This window comes from Homo sapiens, chromosome 6 (assembly GCF_000001405.40).
Source record: "Homo sapiens chromosome 6, GRCh38.p14 Primary Assembly".
In the NCBI taxonomy this organism is placed as follows: domain Eukaryota; kingdom Metazoa; phylum Chordata; class Mammalia; order Primates; family Hominidae; genus Homo; species Homo sapiens.
The window spans coordinates 78,845,111-78,869,088 of NC_000006.12; the positions used below are offsets into that span (position 1 = coordinate 78,845,111).

A 23,978-nucleotide genomic window follows, 5' to 3' on the forward strand; every position below is an offset into this window, starting at 1 on the left:
ACAGCTGCAATCAGAGTAAGGACCTCGTGTTCCTTCCCACAATGCCACCACCATGAAGCTGGACACGGTTCACTAATATCAGTGGTAACAAAGGGGCCTTCAAGGGAGGCTTGACTTAGAAGGTCCTTAACAATATTCCAACTCCCTTTTAAGAGATAAATCAAAAGTACCTTAAAGGTTTAATCCATTTAGATAAACTGAGACTCTCGGCTTTCTAAACTATTGGGTTGGAAAGTGTGGACCTCAGTTATTTCAAGAGATTATCAGTTTGTAGACACATAAAGCACTACATGTCGATAATAAATAACAAAGCAGCCCATGTTCAGCCTATGCTCAGCCTATAGCAGAAAGCCTCACCCAAACTTCCCAATAACCCTATGTGGTAGTTCCTTAGAAGAGTAATTTATTCAATGTCCTCTGGCTAGCAAATGATGTTGACAGCAGTCTAATTCAAAAATAAATATTCTTAACACTACTACTTGGGCTCAGAAATGTGCAGATATCTGGGAAACTGAGTCACTACACCATAGAGAAATTTTGCTTGAGAGACTGAGAAACTACAGAAGACAGGACTTCTTATTTTAAGGGAGAGAAGAGCCAGCCAAGCACAATAAACTTGACTAGGTGACAAAGTCTTAGTTGCCACATATTTGTACAATCTGCATAGCTGTCATTCAATCCACCTTGGCCTAGCTGCCTGGACTTATGTCTGTGGTGTAACAAGAAAGAGGGCTTGGACAAACCCTAAGTGGGTTTCTAGTAAAATATTAAGAAACAAGCAGTATTGTTTTAGGATACCTCAAACGAAGAGTAACCCTAAAGACAGATAGATGAGGGCATTTTCTTTGACTTCTCTATTCTCTCCTCACCTCCAGTGCACATATAAGAGCAGTATATTAACCATAGCCAGGCCACATAAGAGTTAGAAACTGGAAAATGAGGAGCAGAGGTTCTTCTTGGTGTCTCCTAAGCTTCATCTTTTGTTCCACTGTGGCTAAGTGCACTGATTTTTGTATCTATGATAATAGATCCAAGTTTGAATTTCAGTTCCAGCCCTTAGTATGTATATGACCATAGACATCTTTGCAACCTCTTGAAGATTCCATTTCTTTATTTGTAAAGTGGAATAATAATCAGTACCTACCTCATAAGCAGTCATATATTACCCATAGGCAGAATAAGAATGTGCTCCATGCACCAGCAAAGCAGGGGAATCAAGATGAAGGGATAAAATATTTCAAAAAAATTGATATGAAAAAGCATCCATATGGTCATTAAAGTGGTGATTTTGCAATATAATGGGTATTATATGAAATTATCTTGGGTTTGTGCTTACATTGCAGGAGTGGCAACAAAACACCATAATCTTTTCAATGCTTATTGCAGCTGTCTCAATTTGGCCCTGTCCATAGCATGGATATGAAGACTAAAGGAGATTATACATAGGGTGTGCTTGGAGAAATGTTTGGCCTAAAGTAACTTCTCAATAAATGTTGACTGTTACTATGATCTGCATATCAGCTTCCTCGGCTCACTTATACCTTCTGCTTACTCATGACTTCAGCTTGTGAAACCAACCGTAACCCTTGCTCTACAAAACCTTTCAGCTCAAGGTCACCATAATTGAACACAACATTCTATGCCTCTCAGTTCAAATCCTTAAGAGCAAAATGTAGGAGTGGATTGGACCCAAGCAACTGCAGGCTGAAGTGCAGGCTGGTAGAACAGAAGTGAGTTACATGACCACCTAAGTTTCCTTTTTTTCATTCAACAAGAGCTGCAATTACAGTCTGAGAAGTCAGCTTTTCCAAGTTTCTGCTGTGGTAAAAATCAACCCCCAAATCCTGTTGTTTTACAAAAAAGGTTTATTTCCAGCCTATGTTCCATATTGACTGCAGGTGGGCTGTGACTCTGTTCCACGTTTTCTTCATTCCAGGATCCAGGCTGAAGGAACATTCTCTATGACACACCATTCTTGTGCCACAGGGAAAAAAGCAATGGTGAAATGACTGATGGCAAGTAAAGTTTATGGTTAGACAACATATAAGTCACTCATGTTCCCATTAGTCAAAGAAAAGCACATGGCCAACCCTGGGGCTGGGAAGTACAATCCTCCTATGGGGAACTCAGTGAATAATTGGGGAAAATAATAACAACCTAGCACATGGACCCTGGGGAAGCAAGTTCTTTAATACACATCTACAATCATGTGAAGAACCATGACATTTAAAGAATATAACTTAGAAAGTAACTATTTTGGGAACTACTGCTTAAGAATGTTTGTTTAAGGTCTCTTAAGTCACCAGATAATCTGAAGAAGTTTCTGGTCAGCAGGAAAAGGTATCATTTTCTGTATGTGAACCAGCCAATACAGAAGTGTTTTGGGGATAAGGAAGCTATAAAAATATGCATTGCCTTAAATTTTAATACAGTTATACACCTTTCTATACTCAGTGCACAAATGGCTCCTTAAGAGAGCCATTGCTATTTTTTTAATAAATTAAGGAATTTAGAAAACAATTGTTTCTAGTAGCATATAAGCTTGTACATTCAAATGTAATCAGTTTCTTCTGCTTTATTAAAATATGAATTTAGGGAAACATTATAATTAAATTAGTTTTAAATACCATAGGGAGCATCAATAATTAGTGCTATATTTAGTAATGATAATATGTCATATGATCCTAGAATAGTACAGGGAATCTACAGACAATAATATATAATCAAACCATTCTTTTTCAAATTGACCATAACACAGTAGGTCAAAAATATATAATTTTAAGTATCCGCAATTAGTAAAAGGCATGATTATATGTTTCATGCTCTATGAATAAATGCACTGAATCTAAAATTAAACTTTGAAGAGTTGTAGCAAACAAAGCTAAGAACAGTTCCATTGCTATGTCTTCTCTCTTCTCTCTAGAAATCAAAAAGTTTTTCATTATTCTCCCTACTCTGTCTGTAAAGAGACCTTATATAGTCTGCTGCCCTTTAAGTCAAGGAGTTAATATAGCTCTATCTTCCAAGAGACCCACAGCAAGCCTAGGGGAGGTGTCACATCAAGTAGTATCTGAAAAATTGCAAAAGTGAATCAGTATTTTTTTTTTAAGGTGGAGTCTCACTCTCTGTTGCCAGGCTGGAGTGCAGTGGTGCGATCTTGGCTCACTGCAACCTCCGACTCCCTGGTTCAAGCAATTCTCCCGCCTCAGCCTCCCGAGTAGCTGGGATTACAGGCATGCACCACCATGCCCAGCTAATTTTTTGTATTTTTAGTAGAGACGGGGTTCACCATGTTGGCCAGGATGGTCTCGATCAGTTATAATGAGCTTTTTTTCATATACCTGTTGGCCACACGTGTCTTCTTTTCAAAAGTGTCTGTTCATGTTCTTTGCCCACTTTTTAATGGGGTTGTTTTTCTCTTGTAAATTGGTTTAAGTTCCTTATAGATGTTGGATATTAGACCTTTGTCAGATGCATAGTGTGCAAATACTTTCTCCCAGAATGTAGGCTATCTGTTTATTCCATTGATAATTTCTTTTGCTGTGCAGATGCTCTTAAGTTTAATTAGGTCCCACTTGTCAATTTTTGCTTTTGCTGTACTTTATTTTGGTGTCTTTGTCATTAAATCTGCCCATTCCTATGTCCAGGATGGTATTACCTAGGTTGTATTCCAGGGTTTTTGTAATTTGGGGTTTTACATTTAAGTCTTTAATCCATCTTCAGTTGATTTTTTTGTATATGGTATAAGGAAGGGGTCCTAAAACCCTATCTTTCCTAAGCATTAGATGTATCTCTTGTTTCTCTAGCACATGTTAAATTCTCTTTCAGTGCTTTCAATATCAGATACTATTTCCTTCTCATGATATGACATCTTGAATAATCCATTCTCTTTCAAACTTGCAACATATTATTCCCTCCCAGAAGTGACTGCCTGTCACCTTTAACCATACTATGTATTCAAACATTGTTTACAATGTTTGAACTAAACTCTGTTTTACTTTTATGTCTTTGAAGTAAACTCTGTTTTACCTTTTGTATACTGGAAAATGACTAGTTTCTGCACTATAATTGAAACAAGGATAGATGTGCATTTCAATACACAGATTTCTAAAGTCTATATTTTATTTAAAAAAATAAATTTCCTTTAAAAATTGAGACCAACAGTAATAACAAACAGTTATTCCTTAAGAAAAATAAAACTTTTATTGCTTTTAAATTTTAGGGTTATTGTATTTCAGGTTCATGGCTTCCCTTAGGATATGAGCTCAGAATGTTTGGTTTCTTGTAAGAGATACACATATTTTTATTATAAATGTATGAATATTGAACACATAATTATGTGAACATTGATCACCTCCATGAATGACTCTCTGCAAGAGACTTCTATATGCAAAGTACCACAGCAGGTGGAGCTACAATGAAGGTTCAGGACTTGTGTCTCCCAATAAATAACATCTCATATGTAAAATGCTCATCTCCTGGATGAGCATCCTGGTGATGTGATCCTCATCTGTTTCCCCAGAACAATAAAAATAAGCTATCCTTCATGTACAAAGAAAATGTGGCGAACCCAGTATTGGTGGCACGTGACTTTGACATTTCTTGTTTCTTTCAGCTGTAGTAATAGCTCTTTTCTGAATTATCTATTGTTGAACTGTCCAATATGGTAGCCACTATATAAATGTTACTATTGAGCACTTGAAATTAGGCTAGTCCAATTGAGATGTGCTGTCAGTTTAAAACACATACTGATTTCCGAATCAGCACCAAAAAAGAATACAAATAATATTTATTACATGTTGAAATAATATTTTAGAAATCTTAGGTTAAATAATATACTATTAAAATTCTGGCACATGTATACATATGTAACAAACCTACACATTGCACACATGTACCCTACAACTTAAAGTATAATAATAATAAAATTTAAAAAAAATTCATTTTACCTGGTTTTTTCTTTACCGTTTTTAATGTGACTATTAGAAAATTTTAAATCAAGTATGTGGCTTGGATCAGATTTCTGTTGAACATCATTGATCTCATCTCTCTCTCCTAGCTCTTGAATAGTGACACAATTACAGGTATAAGACATACAAATTAAGTTAGGGGTATCATATGTTAAGATTATACTAGATAAAACTAACAAGCCAATAAAGGAATGAAACATATAACCTCAAAATCTATCATTAAATGAATTATCCACCTATACAACTAAAAAATAGCGGAAATTGTAACGGTGGGTCTAATTATAATAGTGGCAGCAAAATGTCAATTCTGCCAGTTCAGATCCTGTAGAATCTGGTCATGTGGGTAATTCTTAGCACCTGCAATGCTTGAATGCTTACCTGTTTATATGTGTAAAGGATGATGGTGATGAAAACTATCATTTACCAAACACCTAATTTATATCAGGCACTTTACAAAGATTCCTCATGTAATCTTCATAATAATCCAATGAAGTGTATTAATCAGGGTTGGCTAACTGCTGAAACAAACATCCCCCAAGTTTCAGTGCCTTAACAAAATAAATACTAATTCTTGTTTGCAACTGATGGGGGTGGCAAGGGACTCACAGCAAACTTTAATTCAGGCCTCTTCTGTCTTAGTTATTCATTCTCATAGGTCTCTGGAGTCCTCTCCAGTCAGCCAGCTAAAGAAGAGGGCACATGGAAGATTTTCATGAGCTAAGTTAGGAAGTGGTGCACTTTATTTCCACCCACATTCCAGTGCCAGAAGTCAGCAATGAAGACACCAACCTACAAGGGAAGCTGAAAATATAGTTTAACTGTGCCCAGGAAGAAAAGGAAAACACATGGATATTGGTGAGCATTAACAGTCTCTGCAACTAGTAAATTTTATCTCTATTTTATAGCTGAAAAACTGGCTCTCAGAAACACTTAAATTTTACAATGTTACATACCTAGAAAACGGCATTCACAATTCTGTAGGACACCAAAGCCCAGGCTTTTTCCAGGCAACGTTGCAGAACTCACAAAAATTGTCACTATCTCAGTATGTACACTTACCTCAGAAGAAGGATTAGGCAAATGAGCAAGAGATGACAGGAATTGAATCTTCTGTCCTCTCCCACCATTACAAAAGAGCAATGTTGGGAAAATCAGTTTAGACAACCAAAATTTCCCTTTGCATCATTAAATAATATGTCTATGAGACTTGAGATCAACCTTCAACAAACAAACAAAAAGAACAAATGGGGTGGGTTATTCATTGCCAAAATGCTGAGTAGTCAAATACATAAGTCCCCAGGATGTTTAATAAATAATTACAGTCTAGCAGGACTAGTATCTGTTACCTCCCAAAATATTTATTTATCTCTTATTTATCCAGAAGCCAAAAACACCTAGAACATCTTAACAATTGGGTTTATTTTGCAATACTATTGAATAATAATTATTGTTTGTATTGGTGAGGCTAAGTCACTACAAGATTCTGAAGTTTCTTTTGAATTATTGTTTTATTTTATTTTATTATGTTTTAGCATTATCATTAAGGATTCTATTATAAAACAGAAATTCCATTATGTTTTAATATCATTAAAGATTCTATCATAAAATAATTCAATGTTGATAATTTGCATAGACTACTTGTATTAAATCAGCCACATTGCCCAAAAATTCAGAATCATTTAATCCCTGATATTTCTGAGTGAACAAAAATTAATTATAATGGGGGAAGGACAGAACATGAAATGACTAATAGGAAATTAGAACATTTTCTTCTGGACAGATGACTAGTGAGCTGGCTATGAAGTGTATATAAAATTGTTAGGTGTATATGAAAATCATTAAACTAATCTGGCTATAAATGAGATGGAAATCAAGGCACATCAAAAGATCAGTAAGGTAAAAAGTGCTGGAACCACTCATAGGAAACCCTGAAGTTCACAGATTTGAAACTTAAATTTGATATGAAAGATCACTTTAGACTCAAAATTGCTGATACCAATGATAAAACTCTTTTAGTGGCCACTGAATTAGACAATTGGTTCAGGAAGGAAAGTCTGGAAGCAAAGAGACAGGAAAACTATGACTATGACAGAATAATGATTATGGTTGTGAAAAGGGGCTGATCCAAGGATACTACTAGTCATTTTCTATGTTTTTTCTCTATTTTTATATTCATTGCATCTCAGGAGCACTTCATCCACCTCTATATCTTATTAATCAGTATTCTTGAATGTACTGAATTTTATGAACATGTTTCCGAGAGAATATAGTTTCTTTTTCAGTTCTATTGTCATTCCCTGAATGTTATTTATCTAATGTAAGCCTCCTTCGGACAATCTTCTATGGTTCTTATAGTTTATTATATTCTCTAGCTTTGTATGAGAAGTATAATTTATGCTTTGTATGAGAAGCATAAAAGTCTGGGGAAAAAAGATGACAAGTCATAACTTTATCCTCATGGGCACACAACTTCAGTTAAATCTTTTTGTCTAACAGGTACTGTCTCTTAACTGGGTGAATGGCATTTTCAGATAAGCAGTTTTCCTCCATGCTTTGTTAGAAATCATGGAAAAGCTTTGTTCCATCAAAACTTCTGTACTAATTGCTCAGATAATTCTCAAAGCTAAGGCTGTCTCAGCTCCAAAAGTTGTGATGCCAGACTATACAAGACCATTGAAGTTGAGTGCGTTAAGTTTTTACTGCCACGTGTCAAGCACTGTGCTGCAAACCTTTAAATATCTGCACAACCATTCTGTCAATCCAGTTATCTGATCTGTCAACTGGAATCTCATCCTCTGAGACAGGCTCCTGTGGGAAATTCCATTGTTCTTAATCCTATGGACTTGCTTTCTCATAATTGACTGTGTCTTCCACTTTTGCTGAACTCTTGATCTCACATATCTTGCCCTTTGCAGATGCTCCTTATCTTTGTTATACACATAGCTTCTTTCCTTGATTTCTCCCAAATCACAATGCAACACAGTCATGTTGTTACATTGCCAAGATGCCAACAACTAAACATTGTAAATTAGACTTCTGTGGTCTTTAAAGTTATGGCCACTATTGCTATCAAGGCATTTGTCTCCTTCTCCACAGGATTCAGCCTCCTATCTATCTTGCATGGCCTTTTCTCTAATTCCTCCCCCTTCTCTTTCTGGCATTTCTCCTCCCACATCTCTATTCATTTCTTTGTACACAACTGTTTAGTTCTTTGTATTGCAATCACCTTCTAGAACTCACACTCAAGGCCTCACCTTCCACACTCAGATAAGCTTATCAAGGCATTTTTTCTAAATGAAGACAGTGCCCAGTTCCCTAAGTGGAACTCTAGTACCACTGGTTCATAATATTTTTGGCCCATTAAATATATATATAAATATATATGTATATACACACATAAACGATAAAGCAGGCCGGGTGCAGTGGCTTACACCTGTAATCCCAGCACTTTGTGAAGCCAAGGCAGGCAGATCACGAGGTCAAGAGATCAAGACCATCATGGCCAACATGGTGAAACTCTGTCTCTACTAAAAATACAAAAAAAAAATTAGCTGGGTATGGTGGTGCACACCTGTAGTCCCAGCTACTCAGGAGGCTGAGGCAGGAGAATCACTTGAACCTGGGAGGCGGAGGTTACAGTGAGCCAAGATCGTGCCACTGCACTCCAGCCTGGTGACAGAGCAAGACTCTGTCTCAAAAAAAAAATAAAAAATAAAAAAATAAAGCAACTGGGCCTCACAAGAGATGAATTACACAGCTCACCAATCTTAAAAATGCAGGCCATTTTACTCTAAATGCCTTTGCCTTTTAAAAACACAATGCTGGTTTAAAAACATGCTTTAATTAGTAAACTTTACTTTTTTTAAATTGGACCGTGTTTTTTATTTTTATTAATTTTTTAAAGACCAGGTCTCACTCTGTCGCCTAAGCTACAGTGCAGTGGCATGATCTTGGCTCACTGCAACCTCCATCTCCTGGGTTCAAGCAATTCTTCTGCTTCAGCCACTCAAGTAGCTGGGATTACAGACATGCACTGTTGGGAAAAAGCTGAGTGTTGGGAAAAGAAACTGAGGCAGGGCTTGCATGTCTGACATAATGGCCTCTGGAATGTGTCTAGACTTGCTGGCTCCTTGCTTCTAGCCCTCCTAGGCTCCTAGATCAATTGTATTCCCATTATCTGAGGTAGCAGAACATATTCCATATAAATGCTAAACCATCACAGCTGTAGATCATGTGCCTGCCCTTTTGAACCCCACATTCTCACCAACTGTTTCTTTGTTAGATTACCAATAAATAGCATGGGCTCCCAGAGTTCAGGGCCTTTGCAGCCTCCACGATCGTGATGGCCCCCTGGTCCCACTTTACTTCTCAAACTGTCTTTTTCTCAATCCTTTGACTCCACTAGACTTTATCGCCCCCACGACGTGGTGTTGGGTCTGATCACCCCAACATTCCTGGCTGCCCAATGTGGAGCAACAAAGACCTGGTGAAGAAATGCTAGAGCGTGTGAAAGCGGACGATGCATTGTCAAAGGATACCCAAGTACGTCTAAAAGAAGCTCGGTGGGAAAGCTGAGCACTCCGGAAGAACCAGGGTAACAATGGGACAAAGTGAAAGCAGACATTCTGCTTGTTTAAATTTCTGAAGGCATTTACTACAAAGAGATGAAGTGAAAGTTAGCACTCAGAATTTGTTATCACTCTTTATTGCAGTAAAGCAGTTTTGCCCATGGTTCCCGGAACAAAGGACTATAGAGTTGGATGAATGGGAGAGAATTGGCAGAGATTTAAAAAAAGCATATAAAGATGGAGCAAAAATTCCAGTCTCGGTTTGGTCAATGTGGGCGCTAATAAAAGCAGCTCTTGAGCCATTTCAAACAGATGATGAGGCAGATTCAGATGAGGAAGAGGACAAGTGTAAAAAACTAACTTCAGATTCTGAATGTGAGGAACAGGAAACAGAGGAAATTAAATAAAAGAAAGCAAATTAAATAAAAGAAAGAGAAATTTTAAAAAAGTATGTTTTACTAGCCGACCTGCTGAATTAAGTGAAAGGCCACCTCCTCTCTCTCCCCTTAATGGGTGAGAAGATGAATTAGCTACAAAACTTACTGCTCCTGTAGTTGCAACATTAAAATCTGGAGCAATTGGTGGTGCTATACAAAATTCTATTCAAAAGGCCAGAGCCGAGGGAGACCTTGAAGCATGACAATTTCCCGTAACTATAATCCAGCAGGGAGGACAGAATATAGCTAATTGGACCACCTTTCCTTTTAAGCTGTTAAAGGAATTCAAGCAAGCCATTAGTCAATATGAGCCAAACTCTCCTTTTGTGCAAACTTTATGAAAAATGTTTCTCTTGATAATCGATTAATAGCACATGATTGGGATACTTTAACAAAATCTATTCTCACTCCATCTCAGTACTTGCAGTTTAAACCTGGTGGGCTGATGAAGCTCAAACTCAGGCAAGGGAAAATACACAAGCACAACCACCTGTGCCTGTTTCCTTTGAACAGTTAATGGGAGTCGGACCTGATTGGGGTCGATTAGAAAATCAAGCAGTAATGGAGGATGTTGCCATTGTTCAGCTGCGCTCTGTGTGCTTACAGGCATGGGAAAGGATACATGTTACAGGGGAAAAATATCCTTCTTTCAGTTCTGTCTGACAAGGACCTAAAGAATCCTATTGATTTTATTGCTCGGCTCCAGGAGGCTGTGTATAAAACCATAACTGATAAAATAGCTCAAGATTTGTAATGCAGCTTCTTGCATACAATAATGCTAATGCAGACTGTCAAACTGCTATTAGACCCCTGAGAGGGAAGGCTCATTTAGCTGGATATACTAAGGCTTGCGATGGCATTGGAGGTAACTTACATAAGGCTACTCTTTTAGCTCAGGCTATGGCTGGATTAAGAGTCGGAAATAATATGCCCCATTTCTCAGGCTCTTGCTTTAATTGTGGGCAATTTGGACACAGAAAAAAGGAATGTAGAAAAGGAAATCAAAAGGCAAGAGCTACCATCAAACAACAGAAAAGTCCCAGTGTATGTCCCCGTTGTGAAAAAAGCCATCACTGGGCAAGTCAATGTCATTCTAAAAGTAGCAAAGATGGACAACCTCTCTCAGGAAACAGGAATAGGGGCCCGCCTTGAGCCCCTCAACAAACCAAGGCATACCTGGCACAGCCAGTGCCCTTACAAATGTACAATTGTCCCCTGCCACAGCAGGCAGTGTTGTCGTAGACCTCTGCAGCACAATTCCCCTCTCCTTACTTCCTGGGGAGCCACACCAAAAAAGGTCCCTATGGGAGTTAGGGGACCCTTACCAGCAGGAACAGTTGGTCTATTACTTGGAAAGTCGAGTTAAATTTGAAAGGTGTCACTGTGCATATGGGAATAATTGATTCTGATTATACCGGAGAAATTCAATTAGTTACTAGTTCCTCAACTCCGAGATCTGCTTCCCCAGGAGAAAGAATTGCTCAGTTGTTGCTGTTACCTTACATAAAACTAGGAAGCAGCACAGTGAAGAGAACAGGAGGCTTTGGTAGTACTAATCCAACAGGAAAGGCTGTATACTGGGTTAATCAAATGTCTGACAAAAGACCTATTTGCACAGTAACTATTCAGGGAAAAGATTATGAAGGACTACTAGATACTGGAGCTGATGTCTCTATTATTGCTATAAATCAATGGCTCTGACATTGGCCCAAGCAAAAGGCATCCATTCGCATTGTTGGAGTAGGAGCTGCCTTGGAAGTTTTTCAAAGTTCCTTGATTTTACCATGTCAGGGGCCGGATGGTCAGTAAGGGACAATTAAGCCTATCATTACACCTATTCCTGTCAATTTATGGGGTAGAGACTTATTCCAACAATGGCATGCTGAAATATCTATTCTTATGGGTCAATATAATAATAACAATAGACGAATGATGAAAAATATGGGATATCGCCCACGGAAAAGGACTAGGAAAAGATAAATACGGCCAATCAGAACTTTTAGAATTAAAAGGACAAACAGATCAGACCAGATTGGGGTGTCATTTTTAGGAGTGGCCATTGTTGAGCCTCCAGCTCCCATTCCTCTTGTTTGGCTAACTGCCAAACCAGTTTGGGTAGACCACTGGCCGCTGAAACAGGAAAAACTGAGGCTTTAAAAGAGTTGGTGCAGGAACAATTATAAAAGGGTCATATAGAACATACTTTCTCCCCTTGGAATCCTCCTGTATTTGTCAATAAGAAAAAATCAGGGAAATTGAGAATGTTAACAGATTTAAGGGCTGTTAATACTGTAATTCAACCCACGGTGCAGCGGAACAATGCCTGACAGGAAGGAAGGAAGGTAAAAGGGGCTGGACAGGATATGTGGTGGAGGGATGCACATGCAGGGAGCTGGGAAAAAGGAAAAAGGAAAGATAATTATTTGGGGAAGAGGATTTGCTTGTGTCTCTCCAGTTGACAATCAGCTGCCAGTGTGGGTGCCCACCAAACATCTGAAGATTTATCATGAGCCACAGCATCTAGGGGACCACCTGTACAGTGCAAACTGAAGGTCTGAAAAGCCTCTATTTGCTTTCCCTGTGCCTTGTGTTACAAGGGGCCTGTTCCTCATTATCAGTGGCCTCCCGGCTACAGCCACAAAAGTTTTTGCTTCTGTTTCAGATTTACTAAGGTGGGGGTGAGGGTATGCTTGTGTTTTTGCAGGATATGAATGAACCCTGTGGATGCCCTCAAGATGTGTACGACCATGGAACGGGAGACTGGAGGGACCCATGGATCCCAACCATGGACCGGGTTCCCCCAGTACAAGACAGTTGAATCTGAATGCAAAGATGGAACGAAGACCAACTAGAGTCACAATGCTTAAAGAACCAATGCTTTCTGACTCAGCTCCTCTCTACCCTGAATACAAGAGAGCCTAATAGTTAGGCAGGAATATCATCACCCCTATTCAGCATGAAGGAATTACATAAGATGGACCTTCATCCTTCTGCAACCCCTAGGATTAAGGGTCCTCTCGTAAAAGGAAAAGGAGAGATATGTGTGAAGCATTCAAACCAGAGTGACTCCAGTTTGAATAAGGGCTAAGAAAAATGAAGCTGGATCACCAACCAGCAATTAGGGCTGCACAGCCTGCAATTGCCTTGCTCAATTAAAAGAGGCCACCTTTTATGTTAGTAATAATGATAGCTAGTAATAATGATAGTAATAATACCTTCTCTTTTACAAAAAAGAGAAGGGGGCATGTTGGGAAAAAGCTGAGTGTTGGGAAAAAAAACTGAGGCAGGGCTTGCATGTCTGACATAATGGCCTCTGGAATGTGTCTAGACTTGCTGGCTCCTTGCTTCTAGCCCTCCTAGGCTCCTAGATCGATTGTATTCCCATTATCTCAAGTACCAGAACATGTTCCATATAAATACTAAACCGTCACAGCTGTAGATCATGTGCCTGCCCTTTTGACCCCCACATTCTCATCACCTGCTTCTTTGTTGGATTACCAATAAATAGCATGGGCTCCCAGAGCTCAGGGCCTTCGCAGCCTCCACAATTGCGATGGCCCCCTGGTCCCACTTTATTTCTCAAATTATCTTTTTCTCAATCCTTTGGCTCCACCAGACTTCGTCGCCCCCATGACCTGGTGTTGGGTCTGATCACCCCAACAATGCACCACCACGCCTGGCCAATTTTTGTATTTTTAGTAGTGTGGGGAAAAGCAAGAGAGATCAGATTGTTACTGTGTCTGTGTAGAAAGAAGTAGACATAGGAGACTCCATTTTGTTATGTACTAAGAAAAATTCTTCTGCCTTGAGATTCTGTTAATCTATAACCTTACCCCCAACCCCGTGCTCTCTGAAACGTGTGCTGTGTCAACTCAGAGTTAAATGGATTAAGGGCGGTGCAAGATGTGCTTTGTTAAACAGATGCTTGAGGGCAGCATGCTCCTTAAGAGTCATCACCACTCCCTAATCTCAAGTACCCAGGGACACAAAAACTGCGGAAGGCCGCAGGGACCTCTGCCTAGGAAAGCCAGGTATTGTCCAAGGTTTCTCCCCATGTGATAGTCTGAAATATGGCCTCGTGGGAAGGGAAAGACCTGACCGTCCCCCAGCCCGACACCCGTAAAGGGTCTGTGCTGAGGAGGATTAGTAAAAGAGGAAGGAATGCCTCTTGCAGTTGAGACAAGAGGAAGGCATCTGTCTCCTGCCTGTCCCTGGGCAATGGAATGTCTCGGTATAAAACCCGATTGTATGCTCCATCTACTGAGATAGGGAAAAACCGCCTTAGGGCTGGAGGTGGGACCTGTGGGCAGCAATACTGCTTTGTAAAGCATTGAGATGTTTATGTGTATGCATATCTAAAAGCACAGCACTTAATCCTTTACATTGTCTATGATGCAAAGACCTTTGTTCACGTGTTTGTCTGCTGACCCTCTCCCCACAATTGTCTTGTGACCCTGACACATCCCCCTCTTTGAGAAACACCCACAGATGATCAATAAATACTAAGGGAACTCAGAGGCTGGCGGGATCCTCCATATGCCGAACGCTGGTTCCCCGGTTCCCCTTATTTCTTTCTCTATACTTTGTCTCTGTGTCTTTTTCTTTTCCAAATCTCTCGTCCCACCTTACGAGAAACACCCACAGATGTGTAGGGGCAACCCACCCCTACAAGTAGAGATGGAGTTTCATCATTTGCCCAGGCTGGTCTCAAACCCCTGACCTCACGTGATCCACCCGCCTAGGCCTCCCAAAGTGCAGGCGTGAGCCACCACACCCAGCCTAAACTTTACTTTTTAGATCAATTTTAGGTTCACAGCAAAACCGAGCACAAAGTAGAGAGAGTTTCCATATCCGCCTTCCCTACCTCCACACACAGATACAACAACCTCCCCTATCAATATGCTGCACCACAAAGGTATATTTGTTACAACCAATGAACCTATATTAACACATCATTATCACCTAAGTCCACAGTTTGTGGGGTTTTTTTGTTTGTTTGAGACAGAGTCTCCCTCTGTCACCCAGGATGGAGTGCAGTGGCGTGATCTCAGCTCACTGCAACCTCCACCTCCTAGGTTCAAGCAATTCTCCTGGCTAAGCCTCCTGAGTAGCTGGGATTACAGGCACCCACCACCATACACAGCTAATTTTTGTATTTTTAGTAGAGATGGGGGTTTCACCATGTTGGCCAGGCTGGTCTCAAACTCCTGACCTCAGGTGATCTGCCCACCTCGGCCTCAAAGTGCTGGGATTACAAGCTTGAGCCACCACACCTGGCCCACAGTTTGTGCATTGTACCTAAGGGTACAACTGCTGGATCTCACGTAAGAACAAGTTTAGTTTTGTAAGACACTGCCAAACTGTCTTCCAAAGTTGCTGTACTACTTTGCATTCCCACCAGCAATAAATGAGTGAGTGGTCTTGTTGCTCCACATACTCATCAGTACTTGAAGTTGTCAGCGTTTTGGATTTTGATCATTTTAACAGGTGTGTAGTGTTATCTCATTGTTATTTTAATTTACAATTCTCTAATGATATAGGAGATTCAGTATCTTTTTATATGCTTATTTGCCATATGTATTAACTTCTTTGGTAAGGTGTCTAGTCAGACAACGGGTTTTTAAAATAAGACTTTTATAACATTCATCATTTTGTATTAAACTTTACTCAGCTTTTAGAATTAAAAAGAAGCAACTCAAATTCTCTCATACTACACACAAGAAAATTGAGCCAAGGCCGGGCACGGTGGCTCACGCCTGTAATCCCAGCACTTTGGGAGGCCGAGGCGGGCGGATCACGAGGTCAGGAGATCGAGACCATCCTGGCTAACACGGTGAAACCCCGTCTCTACTAAAAATACAAAAAATTAGCCGGGCGTGGTAGCGGGCGCCTGTAGTCCCAGCTACTCGGGAGGCTGAGGCAGGAGAATGGCGTGAACCCGGGAGGCGGAGCTTGCAGTGAGCCGAGATCGCGCCACTGCACTCCAGCCTGGGCGACAGAGCGAGACTCCGTCTCAAAAAAAAAAAAAAAAAAAAATTGAGCCAATAGAGGTGAAAACTGAATCCATGAAAGTAGCTATAAATTTAGAGGGAGAGGCCGGGCACGGTAGCTCACACCTGTAATCCCAGCACTTTGGGAGGGGGAGACAGGCAGATTATGAGGTCAGGAGTTCGAAACCAGCCTGGCCAACATAGTGAAACCCTGTCTCTACTAAAAATACAAAAATCAGCCAGGTGTGGTGGTGCATGCCTGTAGTCCCAGCTACTTGGGGGGCTGAAGCAAGAGAATCACTTGAACCCATGAGGCAGGGGTTGCAGTGAGCCAAGATCATGCCACTGCACTCCAGCCTGGGCAACAGAGCAAGACTCCATCTCAAAAAAAGAAAAAATTAGAGGGAGAAGAAGCAAGCTGAAATGCCAGTGAAACTTACAGGAAAGACGTGACAAGAGAGAAGGAAGTAGAACAAGAAGAGCAGTGTTGTAAGAATCAAAAAAGGCTAGAGGTGAAGTAGATTTTTTTATTTGTTTTGAGAAAGAGCTTTGCCAGCAGCAATAGGCTCTGTAAGTAGTGCAAATAATCAGTGATTACTGGGAGGCAGCAGGACAGAGTGGAAAAGAGTATTAGACTGCCTCTGCCGGTAACCTGGGGGACATGACTTGAAAAACTTTTCTGGGTTCTAGTGTGTTCATCTGTAAAATGAGACTATGCTTCTCTAGTTTCTAAATTCAATGTTTTCTTACTACAGGATCTTCCCTTTGTCAATTTTTTGGACACCATCTTTTTTCTTGGATAATTTTGCTAATTTATTATCATCTATATCTCTGTGCCCTGTTAGATCTTTAATAACTGACCATCTAATCAAGATTTCATTTCCTTCTGCATGCTTAGAGAATTACAGTTACAATAACTCTTTACAAACATCTAATATAGTATTCATGGACACAGAATTTATGTAAGCAGTCTTCTCTTACTTGTTACAATTTTGCCAGGATGTTATAGTATAAACTTGACTATTTATTCTACATAAAATATCAAGAAATTAAGATTTCCTCCCTAAGTAACTTATGTATCTGCAATATCCTGTTAGCTTTGACACTATTAAAATTTGGAATTAAATACTTTTGGGAGGTTAAAATATCTGTGGGCAAAGCTACCTCTAATCCACTGCTTTCAAGGAGAGACATCAAGAAGAAGCAGTCTTTATCAAAGTGAGAGTTTCACAGCTTAAATCTGAAAAGAACTGTCAAACATTTCTTAGTCTCTTGGATACGATGTAAATTAGTTAAGATATAATTACAACTAATACTTGTTACTATTACTACCATAGCTTCATTTATAAAATATTACTTCTCCACTAATTAAATGAAGCATTCAGTGCTTCCCATAACCAATTAAAATGTTAAGTAGTTACATTATGCAGCTAGATATGTGAAAACCAAGAATAATAAGCCAGATAATACAAAAGAAAAACAGTGATGTGAAATGAGTTACAGCGAAAATGAGCAAAGTGAAAACACATTTAAACCATAAACTTTTCTGAAAATTTGAGGTGTCCAAGAGGACAGTCAAGCATGTACACAGAATCAGGTGGTATGAAATCTAACAGCAAAATATAGGGTAGCCCAGTCTAACAACAAAATGATATAGTGGATTGGCTGATTCAGGTTTATTTTCACTCAGATATCAAGATACACTTGAGAGCACTTTTCCTGGACTAAATTGTAACTTTCAAGGTGAAGATGTAATCATGAGACTAGAACCCTGTGTAAGGGGGCAGCAGAGACAAGTAAACAAAGCTGACTGGCAAAAATCCCCATGGTCCACACAGCATCCTATTCTACCTGTATCATTTAAGGTGCCAGAAGATAAACAACCGCAACCTATTAAGAAAGCAAGAAACAAACCTGGAAATAAAATAAAAGCCTAGACGGAAAGCTATACCCAGTGTCTGGGTTATTTGTGAGATAAAATAGGATAATACCTCACTTCATTTCTGGAAAGTCTAAATCCAATTACTTAAAAAAAAAAACTCACTATAGAGAACATTAACAAATATTTATCTCTTTCTACTTTTCCCAATCACTTTTCCTTAACCCTTTGCTATCTGGTTAACAGTAAAACATTTCTTTGAATGGTCACTAAAAATCTGCTAAATATTACATGCAATAGGCATGTCTTCATCTTCAAGTTTTTGACCTGTACCATGACATTATGGATCACCTCTTTTTGACAATTATACAAACTTTGGTTCCACAACATTGTACTATCTTAATCTTTCCCTTACCCCTTTGAGCCTTTTTTCTGTTCCTTTTGGCTTCTTCATTTACCAATATATTTTCCATAAGTATTTAATTATAAAGTGTAACAAAGTCTAAAGTGATTTTAGTACATCTGACATCTTTTTGAACAAGGCAAGGACCTTAATACACACTTCTAGGTTAGGTTTTTTTCCCCCTCAGGATTTAGAATGTATTATTCCATTCTCTTCTGACACTTGGGATTTTAATTTTTGAGATGTTTGGAATTGCCCATCATAAGCTGGGTACTGTCAGAGACTTCAACTCAAAGTCAGATACCCCACCAGAAACAGATAAAAAGATAATGGCACATCTGAGACACAAGCACCAGAGGGTATAAGCAAGCTGCATGAGCAAGCAGCTCAGACGCCCATGCCACCCACCAAGGTTGCACCAAAACACCTCCCTCACCTCACACCAATGGCTATGTAGGGATTACTCTATGGCCAACTGAAGGAGGAGGAAAAAAACCTGAGCTTTTATGGCAAGATTATGGATAGGCTGGCTTGGTATGCAGGTGCCAGTAAAAAATGAGAAGCAGCTGTGGAACAACGTCACTTGTAAAATCTCTGAATAACAGTGGAGAAGGAAAATTTCCCCAAAAGGTGAAGCTTTGAGCAGTGCACCTACAGATCCACTTTGTGTGAAGTTCTATAAATTCCTTCAGGCTGACAGGTATAAAAGTCAGCTTTAAATTCTCCTTCTCATTTATTCTTATCAGTCTTGGTTTTAAGATAACATAAAACTTGGTCAAGCTACTTATGCAAAAAAAAGGGGGAGGGGAATTTTTATAAGGATACAGGAATATTTTAGAGAACTCCAGGGCAGGAATGAAACCAGGCCTAAGAAAAAATTCTTAAAAAAGAGACTGGAATTGCATCTGGACTATTTTTCCATCTCACCTCTGATCCTCTTGGAAAGTATCATTTTCTCTTTCTCTCTCTTTCTCCCCACCCCATCTCTACACTTTTTCTATTTCTCTAATAGAAAAATGGCCAATCTATATCTCCCAAGGTTTTACATAAATATATATATGAGTGTATGTCACAGCCCTGTCACCTAAGAGACTAAATTTTTAAAATTTGGTGTAAATATAGATTCTCATGTGAAAAATTCCAACGGGTTCAACTGGAATTAGGTACCTATTCTTAGTACAATCAACTTGGTAGAGTCACCTTATTCAAAACAGTTGCTAGGGGCTCAGCCTTGACTCTGAGAGAGAACTGGGCTACTATGAGCTGAACAAATAGCTCTATGCTCTTCATTCATTCTCCCAATCATTCCAGCTGAAAACTTCATAAGTCAGTTTAGGCTTATCCTTCTCTTTCATATACTATTAATTTATAGTTCTGTCACAAAGAATTAATTCATTCTTCTTTCAAAATCCAGTATTATCTATTCCTTCTCCATTCTCACGGGCTTTGTTATTTGCCAAAATGATAGTTCAAAAACAGACATTACACTGTAGTTAAATTTGCATTTCTTAAACTACTGGTGAGGATAAACTATTTTTTTTTTCATCCTATAGACTACTAACATTTCTGCTTTCTTGGTCTGTATTGTGGACTTGTGTTCCCCAAAATTCGTATGTTGGAGTGCTCTTCAATGTGACTGTGTTTGGAACAGGGCTTTTAAGAAGGTAATTAAGGTTAAATGGAAGTCACAAAGGTGAGGCTCTATGAAGAGACATCGGGGTAATGTGCACAGAGGCAAGGCTATGTGAGGATGCTGCAAGAAAGTAGCCGTCTGCAAGCCAACCAGAAAGGCCTTGGGGGAAACCAAAACTGCTGACACCTTAATCTTGGACTTCTAGGCCCCAGAACTGTGAGAAAATAAATTTGTGCTGTTTAAGCTCCAAAGTCTTTGAAGCCGAAAGACTTTTGTTATGGCAATAGCAATCTAATACAGTTTGCCTCAGTGTTCATTATTTTTCTTTTGACACGTTTGTTTCTTCTAGCAACAGTTCTCTAAGCATTAAGACTCTTAGCCCTTTATACATAATAAACATTAACAAACATTTTTCCCCATTTATTTGCCCCCCCACCTTTGTTTTTATTTTGCTTTATATAACTGATTTTTTTTAGTATAGTCCAATTTTTCAAACTTTTCCTTCATGGTTGCTGCACATGAAATTATGATTAAGGCCAGCCTTCCCATCCCCCAGAATATTTATATTTACATATAGGTTCTTCCAATTATTTTTCTTTTTGGTCTCATCTGAATTATTTTCAATGTATGATATAAGATACAAATTCTTTAAAAATATAGCTTACAATGGGCCAGGCACCGTGGCTCATGCCTGTAATCCCAGCACTTCGGGAGGCCGAGGTGGACGGATCACGAGGTCAGGAGATCGAGACCATCCTGGCTAACACGGTGAAACCCCATCTCTACTAAAAATACAAAAAAATTAGCCGGGCGTGGTGGCGGGCACATGTAGTCCCAGCTACTCGGGAGCTGAGGCAGGAGAATGGCGTGAACCCGGGAGGCGGAGCTTGCAGTGAGCCCAGATCGCACCACTGCACTCCAGCCAGAATGACAGAGCGAGACTCCGCCTCAAAAAAAAAAAAATATATATATATATAAAATATACTATAGCTATATAGCTATAGTATATTATATATATAGCTTACAATTATCCCTGTACCATGTAATCATTTTCCACTGATATGAAATCTTTTATCGTATACTAAATACTTACACTTTAACTCCTGTTGCTTTTTGTTTATGACATTCACTCATTCAATAATTTATTTTGGAGGCTATATTCTTCCGCATTTATCGTAAGGGAAAAAGAATTTTTCACCAAGTTTAAGAAACATTATTTTGGGTGTCTTAAATAATAAAAGACTATGACGGAAAGTTCTTAACGTTAGTTTTTAAATTAAAATTGTTTTCAGCTAACAATAAACAAGATGGATATACACAAAATTATGTTAATCTAGTGATGAGCCTAATTAAAGGAGGGGGGTACCATTGATTTAGTTGAATTATACTAATCGAAAAGAACAGAAAAAACGATGGTGAAGAAACTACAAGAGGACTGTCAGCTTTTCAGGGTCCTTTTAAAAGAACAGTTCTTGTCCTTCTAGAACTAGTTATTCAAAATTCTTTTTTCCCCCCTCGATTCTCTTGATAAAATTCAGATAGTAAAGACGTATAAGTCAGTGGGGCTATTTTTACAAAGATCATTGCTTAGTGCTAGGAAGAGAATCCAGAAGACGGGAAGTTGAGGGTTGTGTTCTAAAAGTTCTCTGAAGAAAAGGGTACAGAGAAGCTCCAAGTTGTGCAGGCCCAGCAAACTCCATGTTGGACGTGCTTTGCTACCACCTAAATCTCTTCTGTCGGAATTCAAGGCCCGAACCATTCCAGGGATTTTAGAAAAAAATGGGGAGACACAAAAATGATGCCAAAGCCATAGCTATCATTACAAACATCCATTATGTTCACTCTGCTTTCCATATGCAACGCACTCTACATACAATGGGCGCCTTATAAGCACATAGCAAATGTGAAAAATATTATCAACATTGCTTTGATAATATTAATATATTATATATATTAGAATATATTATATATTAGAATATATTATATATATTAGAATATATTATATATTACTAATATAAAAAATATTATCAACCCTGCTTTAGAGAAGATGATACTGAGATATGAAGAATCATAAACTGTCCAAGATCACAGGGGCAAAAAGTTCACCTCAACTGAAACCTCTCACGAACCACAAAAATGTGGCCGAGGGAGCCTCAAAAAGCAGTACCCCAAGCGGGGACGGTAAAGTCAGAAAAGACAAGGCTGGGGGTAATCACAGAGAAATCTAAAAACCCGCTCGGCCTCGCTACTCTTCTCCTTCCTCTGAGGTGCAGAGGCGCGGTGGGACGACAAGGAGTTGCGAGAAAGGGCAGAGCTCACTGAGGAGGCAACAGAGAAAGTCCGCTAACAATTTTTGAAGGCCGTAAGTTAAACATGTTAAAAACTGTAGCTACTCACTCAGCCGACATCTAGTAAAAAAGATGCGGCAAGATCAACAAGGCATATAGCTTGCGCCCGCCAGAAGTTCCGCGGCCTCCACACCCATCCCGGCATACTTTGCGCCGTGCACAGGCAAGCCCTGGTGCGCATTGGCCCCTTCGGCCGCCGTCGGCCGGTAGTTACTATGGAAACCCAGCTGCCATCGCTATGTCTCTGCAAAAGACCCCTCCGACCCGAGTGTTCGTGGAACTGGTTCCCTGGGCTGACCGGAGCCGGGAGAACAACCTGGCCTCAGGGAGAGAGACGCTACCGGGCTTACGCCACCCCCTCTCCTCAACACAAGCCCAAACTGCTACCCGCGAGGTGCAAGTAAGCGGCACCTCAGAAGTGTCTGCGGGCCCTGACCGGGCGCAGGTGGTGGTGCGAGTGAGCAGCACCAAGGAGGCGGCAGCCGAGGCCAAAAAGAGCGTTTGTCGCCGTCTAGATTACATCACGCAGAGCCTCCAGCAGCAGGGCGTGCAGGTGAGATCTCCGCGGGGGAGGAAATAAGAGCCGGAAGACACAAAAGGGTTGGCAGATGGTCGGGCCCCACAGGCCCCCCTAGCGGGAAGGGAGATGTGGAGGGTCTGGAGCGTTTAGGACGCGTTTGTTGCAAAGGTACTCCGGGACGCCAGGACCTGGCAGAGTGAATATTTGACCCATTCTTCTCCTAGACGAAGGTAATTATTGGCCTCAGGCAAATTAAAAATAAAAGAATGCAAATTGGGTAGGTTTTTATCTGGGGATATTTGCTTCAGTGATTTTGTTTTTAAATTTAAAGTGATGAAATGTTAAAACTTGAAATGTTAGTTGTAAATACTTGCCCACGTGGAGTGCTGGACACTAAATATTTTGTTTTGTTTTGTTTTTATTCCGCACCATGGAATTGGCAAGTGAAGAGCACGACCTGCTTCCTTCCGATCATGTAAAACTTTGCATGGAATGGTTCTTGAGTATGTTCCGCAAACAGTAACGTTGGGAAGTGGGGAAGAAGTTGCGTCCATTTTCATTTTATAATGATTTTCATTTTATAGTGATTCCCCCAAAATTTCTTCGGCCTTCTTAGGTTTAACTTAAAAGAAAAAATCAAGCCAGTATTGTGGATACCACATATACGAAATACTTCTACTTACTTAACGGAGATGTCCATGAGACAAATCACTAAACAAATCTTACCTTAAGCCTACTCCTAAGGCAAGAAAAAAAATGAAGCCATCATTTAATCCACACAATAGCACTGTTAGGCATGTTTTAATATCCCTGTTTTCCAAATTTAAAGAGGTTAAACAATGCTCTGAACTTTAGGTAGAGCAATATTTGAACTCATGTATTCCTGAAACCAGAATGTAAGTTGCTTCCAATTCTGCCGATAATTAGAATGAAAGAAAATTAGAAATCATAGGGATCAACGATTTCAGTTTTCTCATTTTATAGAGTAGGACCCCAAAGGCCAGAGATGTAACTTATCCAGGATGACATTGAGTTGGTAAAAGTGCAGGCATTGTTACTTCCAGTCTATTGCAAGAAATTCCATACCCCGAAAAAGCAAGTCCTTATTTTTAACAAGAAAAGATATTTGAATTGCATTTATAATACAAACATACAAGTTATTACAAAGTCATTTGGACAAGATTTCTTCAAATGATTTTACAATTTAGAAAAATACAGATAATTATAAAT

The 23,978-nt window shown here is 39.6% G+C and overlaps 1 protein-coding gene and 1 long non-coding RNA gene across 8 annotated transcripts in view, besides 5 other annotated features; one reads left to right on the forward strand and one right to left on the reverse strand.

The window, feature by feature from the left end:
* Positions 1-4,180: 4,180 nt before the first annotated feature.
* Positions 4,181-22,380, reverse strand: LOC107986613 (uncharacterized). Its single transcript, XR_001744210.2, has 2 exons — positions 22,278-22,380; positions 4,181-5,653 (listed from the first exon to the last, which is right to left on the reverse strand). It is a non-coding gene; the product is annotated as an uncharacterized LOC107986613 (long non-coding RNA).
* Positions 13,573-14,139: an enhancer, noted in NCBI's record as "OCT4-NANOG-H3K27ac hESC enhancer chr6:79568400-79568966 (GRCh37/hg19 assembly coordinates)". NCBI's record gives its function as "activates a minimal SCP1, AML or CMV promoter by ChIP-STARR-seq in primed H9 embryonic stem cells {active_cell/tissue: H9 hESC(primed)}" and the evidence as "EXISTENCE:reporter gene assay evidence [ECO:0000049][PMID:30033119]".
* Positions 22,336-22,445: an enhancer, noted in NCBI's record as "active region_24765". NCBI's record gives its function as "activates an Ori minimal core promoter by ATAC-STARR-seq in GM12878 lymphoblastoid cells {active_cell/tissue: GM12878}" and the evidence as "EXISTENCE:reporter gene assay evidence [ECO:0000049][PMID:35858748]".
* IRAK1BP1 (interleukin 1 receptor associated kinase 1 binding protein 1) overlaps positions 22,441-23,978 on the forward strand; it is a 111,861-nt gene continuing 110,323 nt past the window's right edge. For 6 of the 7 annotated variants that reach the window (XR_942279.3, XM_047418194.1, XM_006715336.4 and 3 more), the window contains exon 1: positions 22,441-22,781. Coding sequence is in view for 5 of the 7 variants with exons in the window: in XM_047418194.1 (XP_047274150.1) it covers positions 22,467-22,781 (315 nt within the window). In the remaining 2 variants the exon portion in view is untranslated. Of the gene's footprint in view, positions 22,979-23,978 lie in introns of all 7 variants that reach the window. The other variant, XM_047418193.1, reaches the window with a different exon arrangement.
* Positions 22,476-22,795: an enhancer, noted in NCBI's record as "active region_24766". NCBI's record gives its function as "activates an Ori minimal core promoter by ATAC-STARR-seq in GM12878 lymphoblastoid cells {active_cell/tissue: GM12878}" and the evidence as "EXISTENCE:reporter gene assay evidence [ECO:0000049][PMID:35858748]".
* Positions 22,476-23,228: a biological region, named in NCBI's record as "H3K27ac hESC enhancer GRCh37_chr6:79577455-79578055".
* Positions 22,628-23,228: an enhancer, noted in NCBI's record as "H3K27ac hESC enhancer chr6:79577455-79578055 (GRCh37/hg19 assembly coordinates)". NCBI's record gives its function as "activates a minimal SCP1, AML or CMV promoter by ChIP-STARR-seq in naive H9 embryonic stem cells {active_cell/tissue: H9 hESC(naive)}" and the evidence as "EXISTENCE:reporter gene assay evidence [ECO:0000049][PMID:30033119]".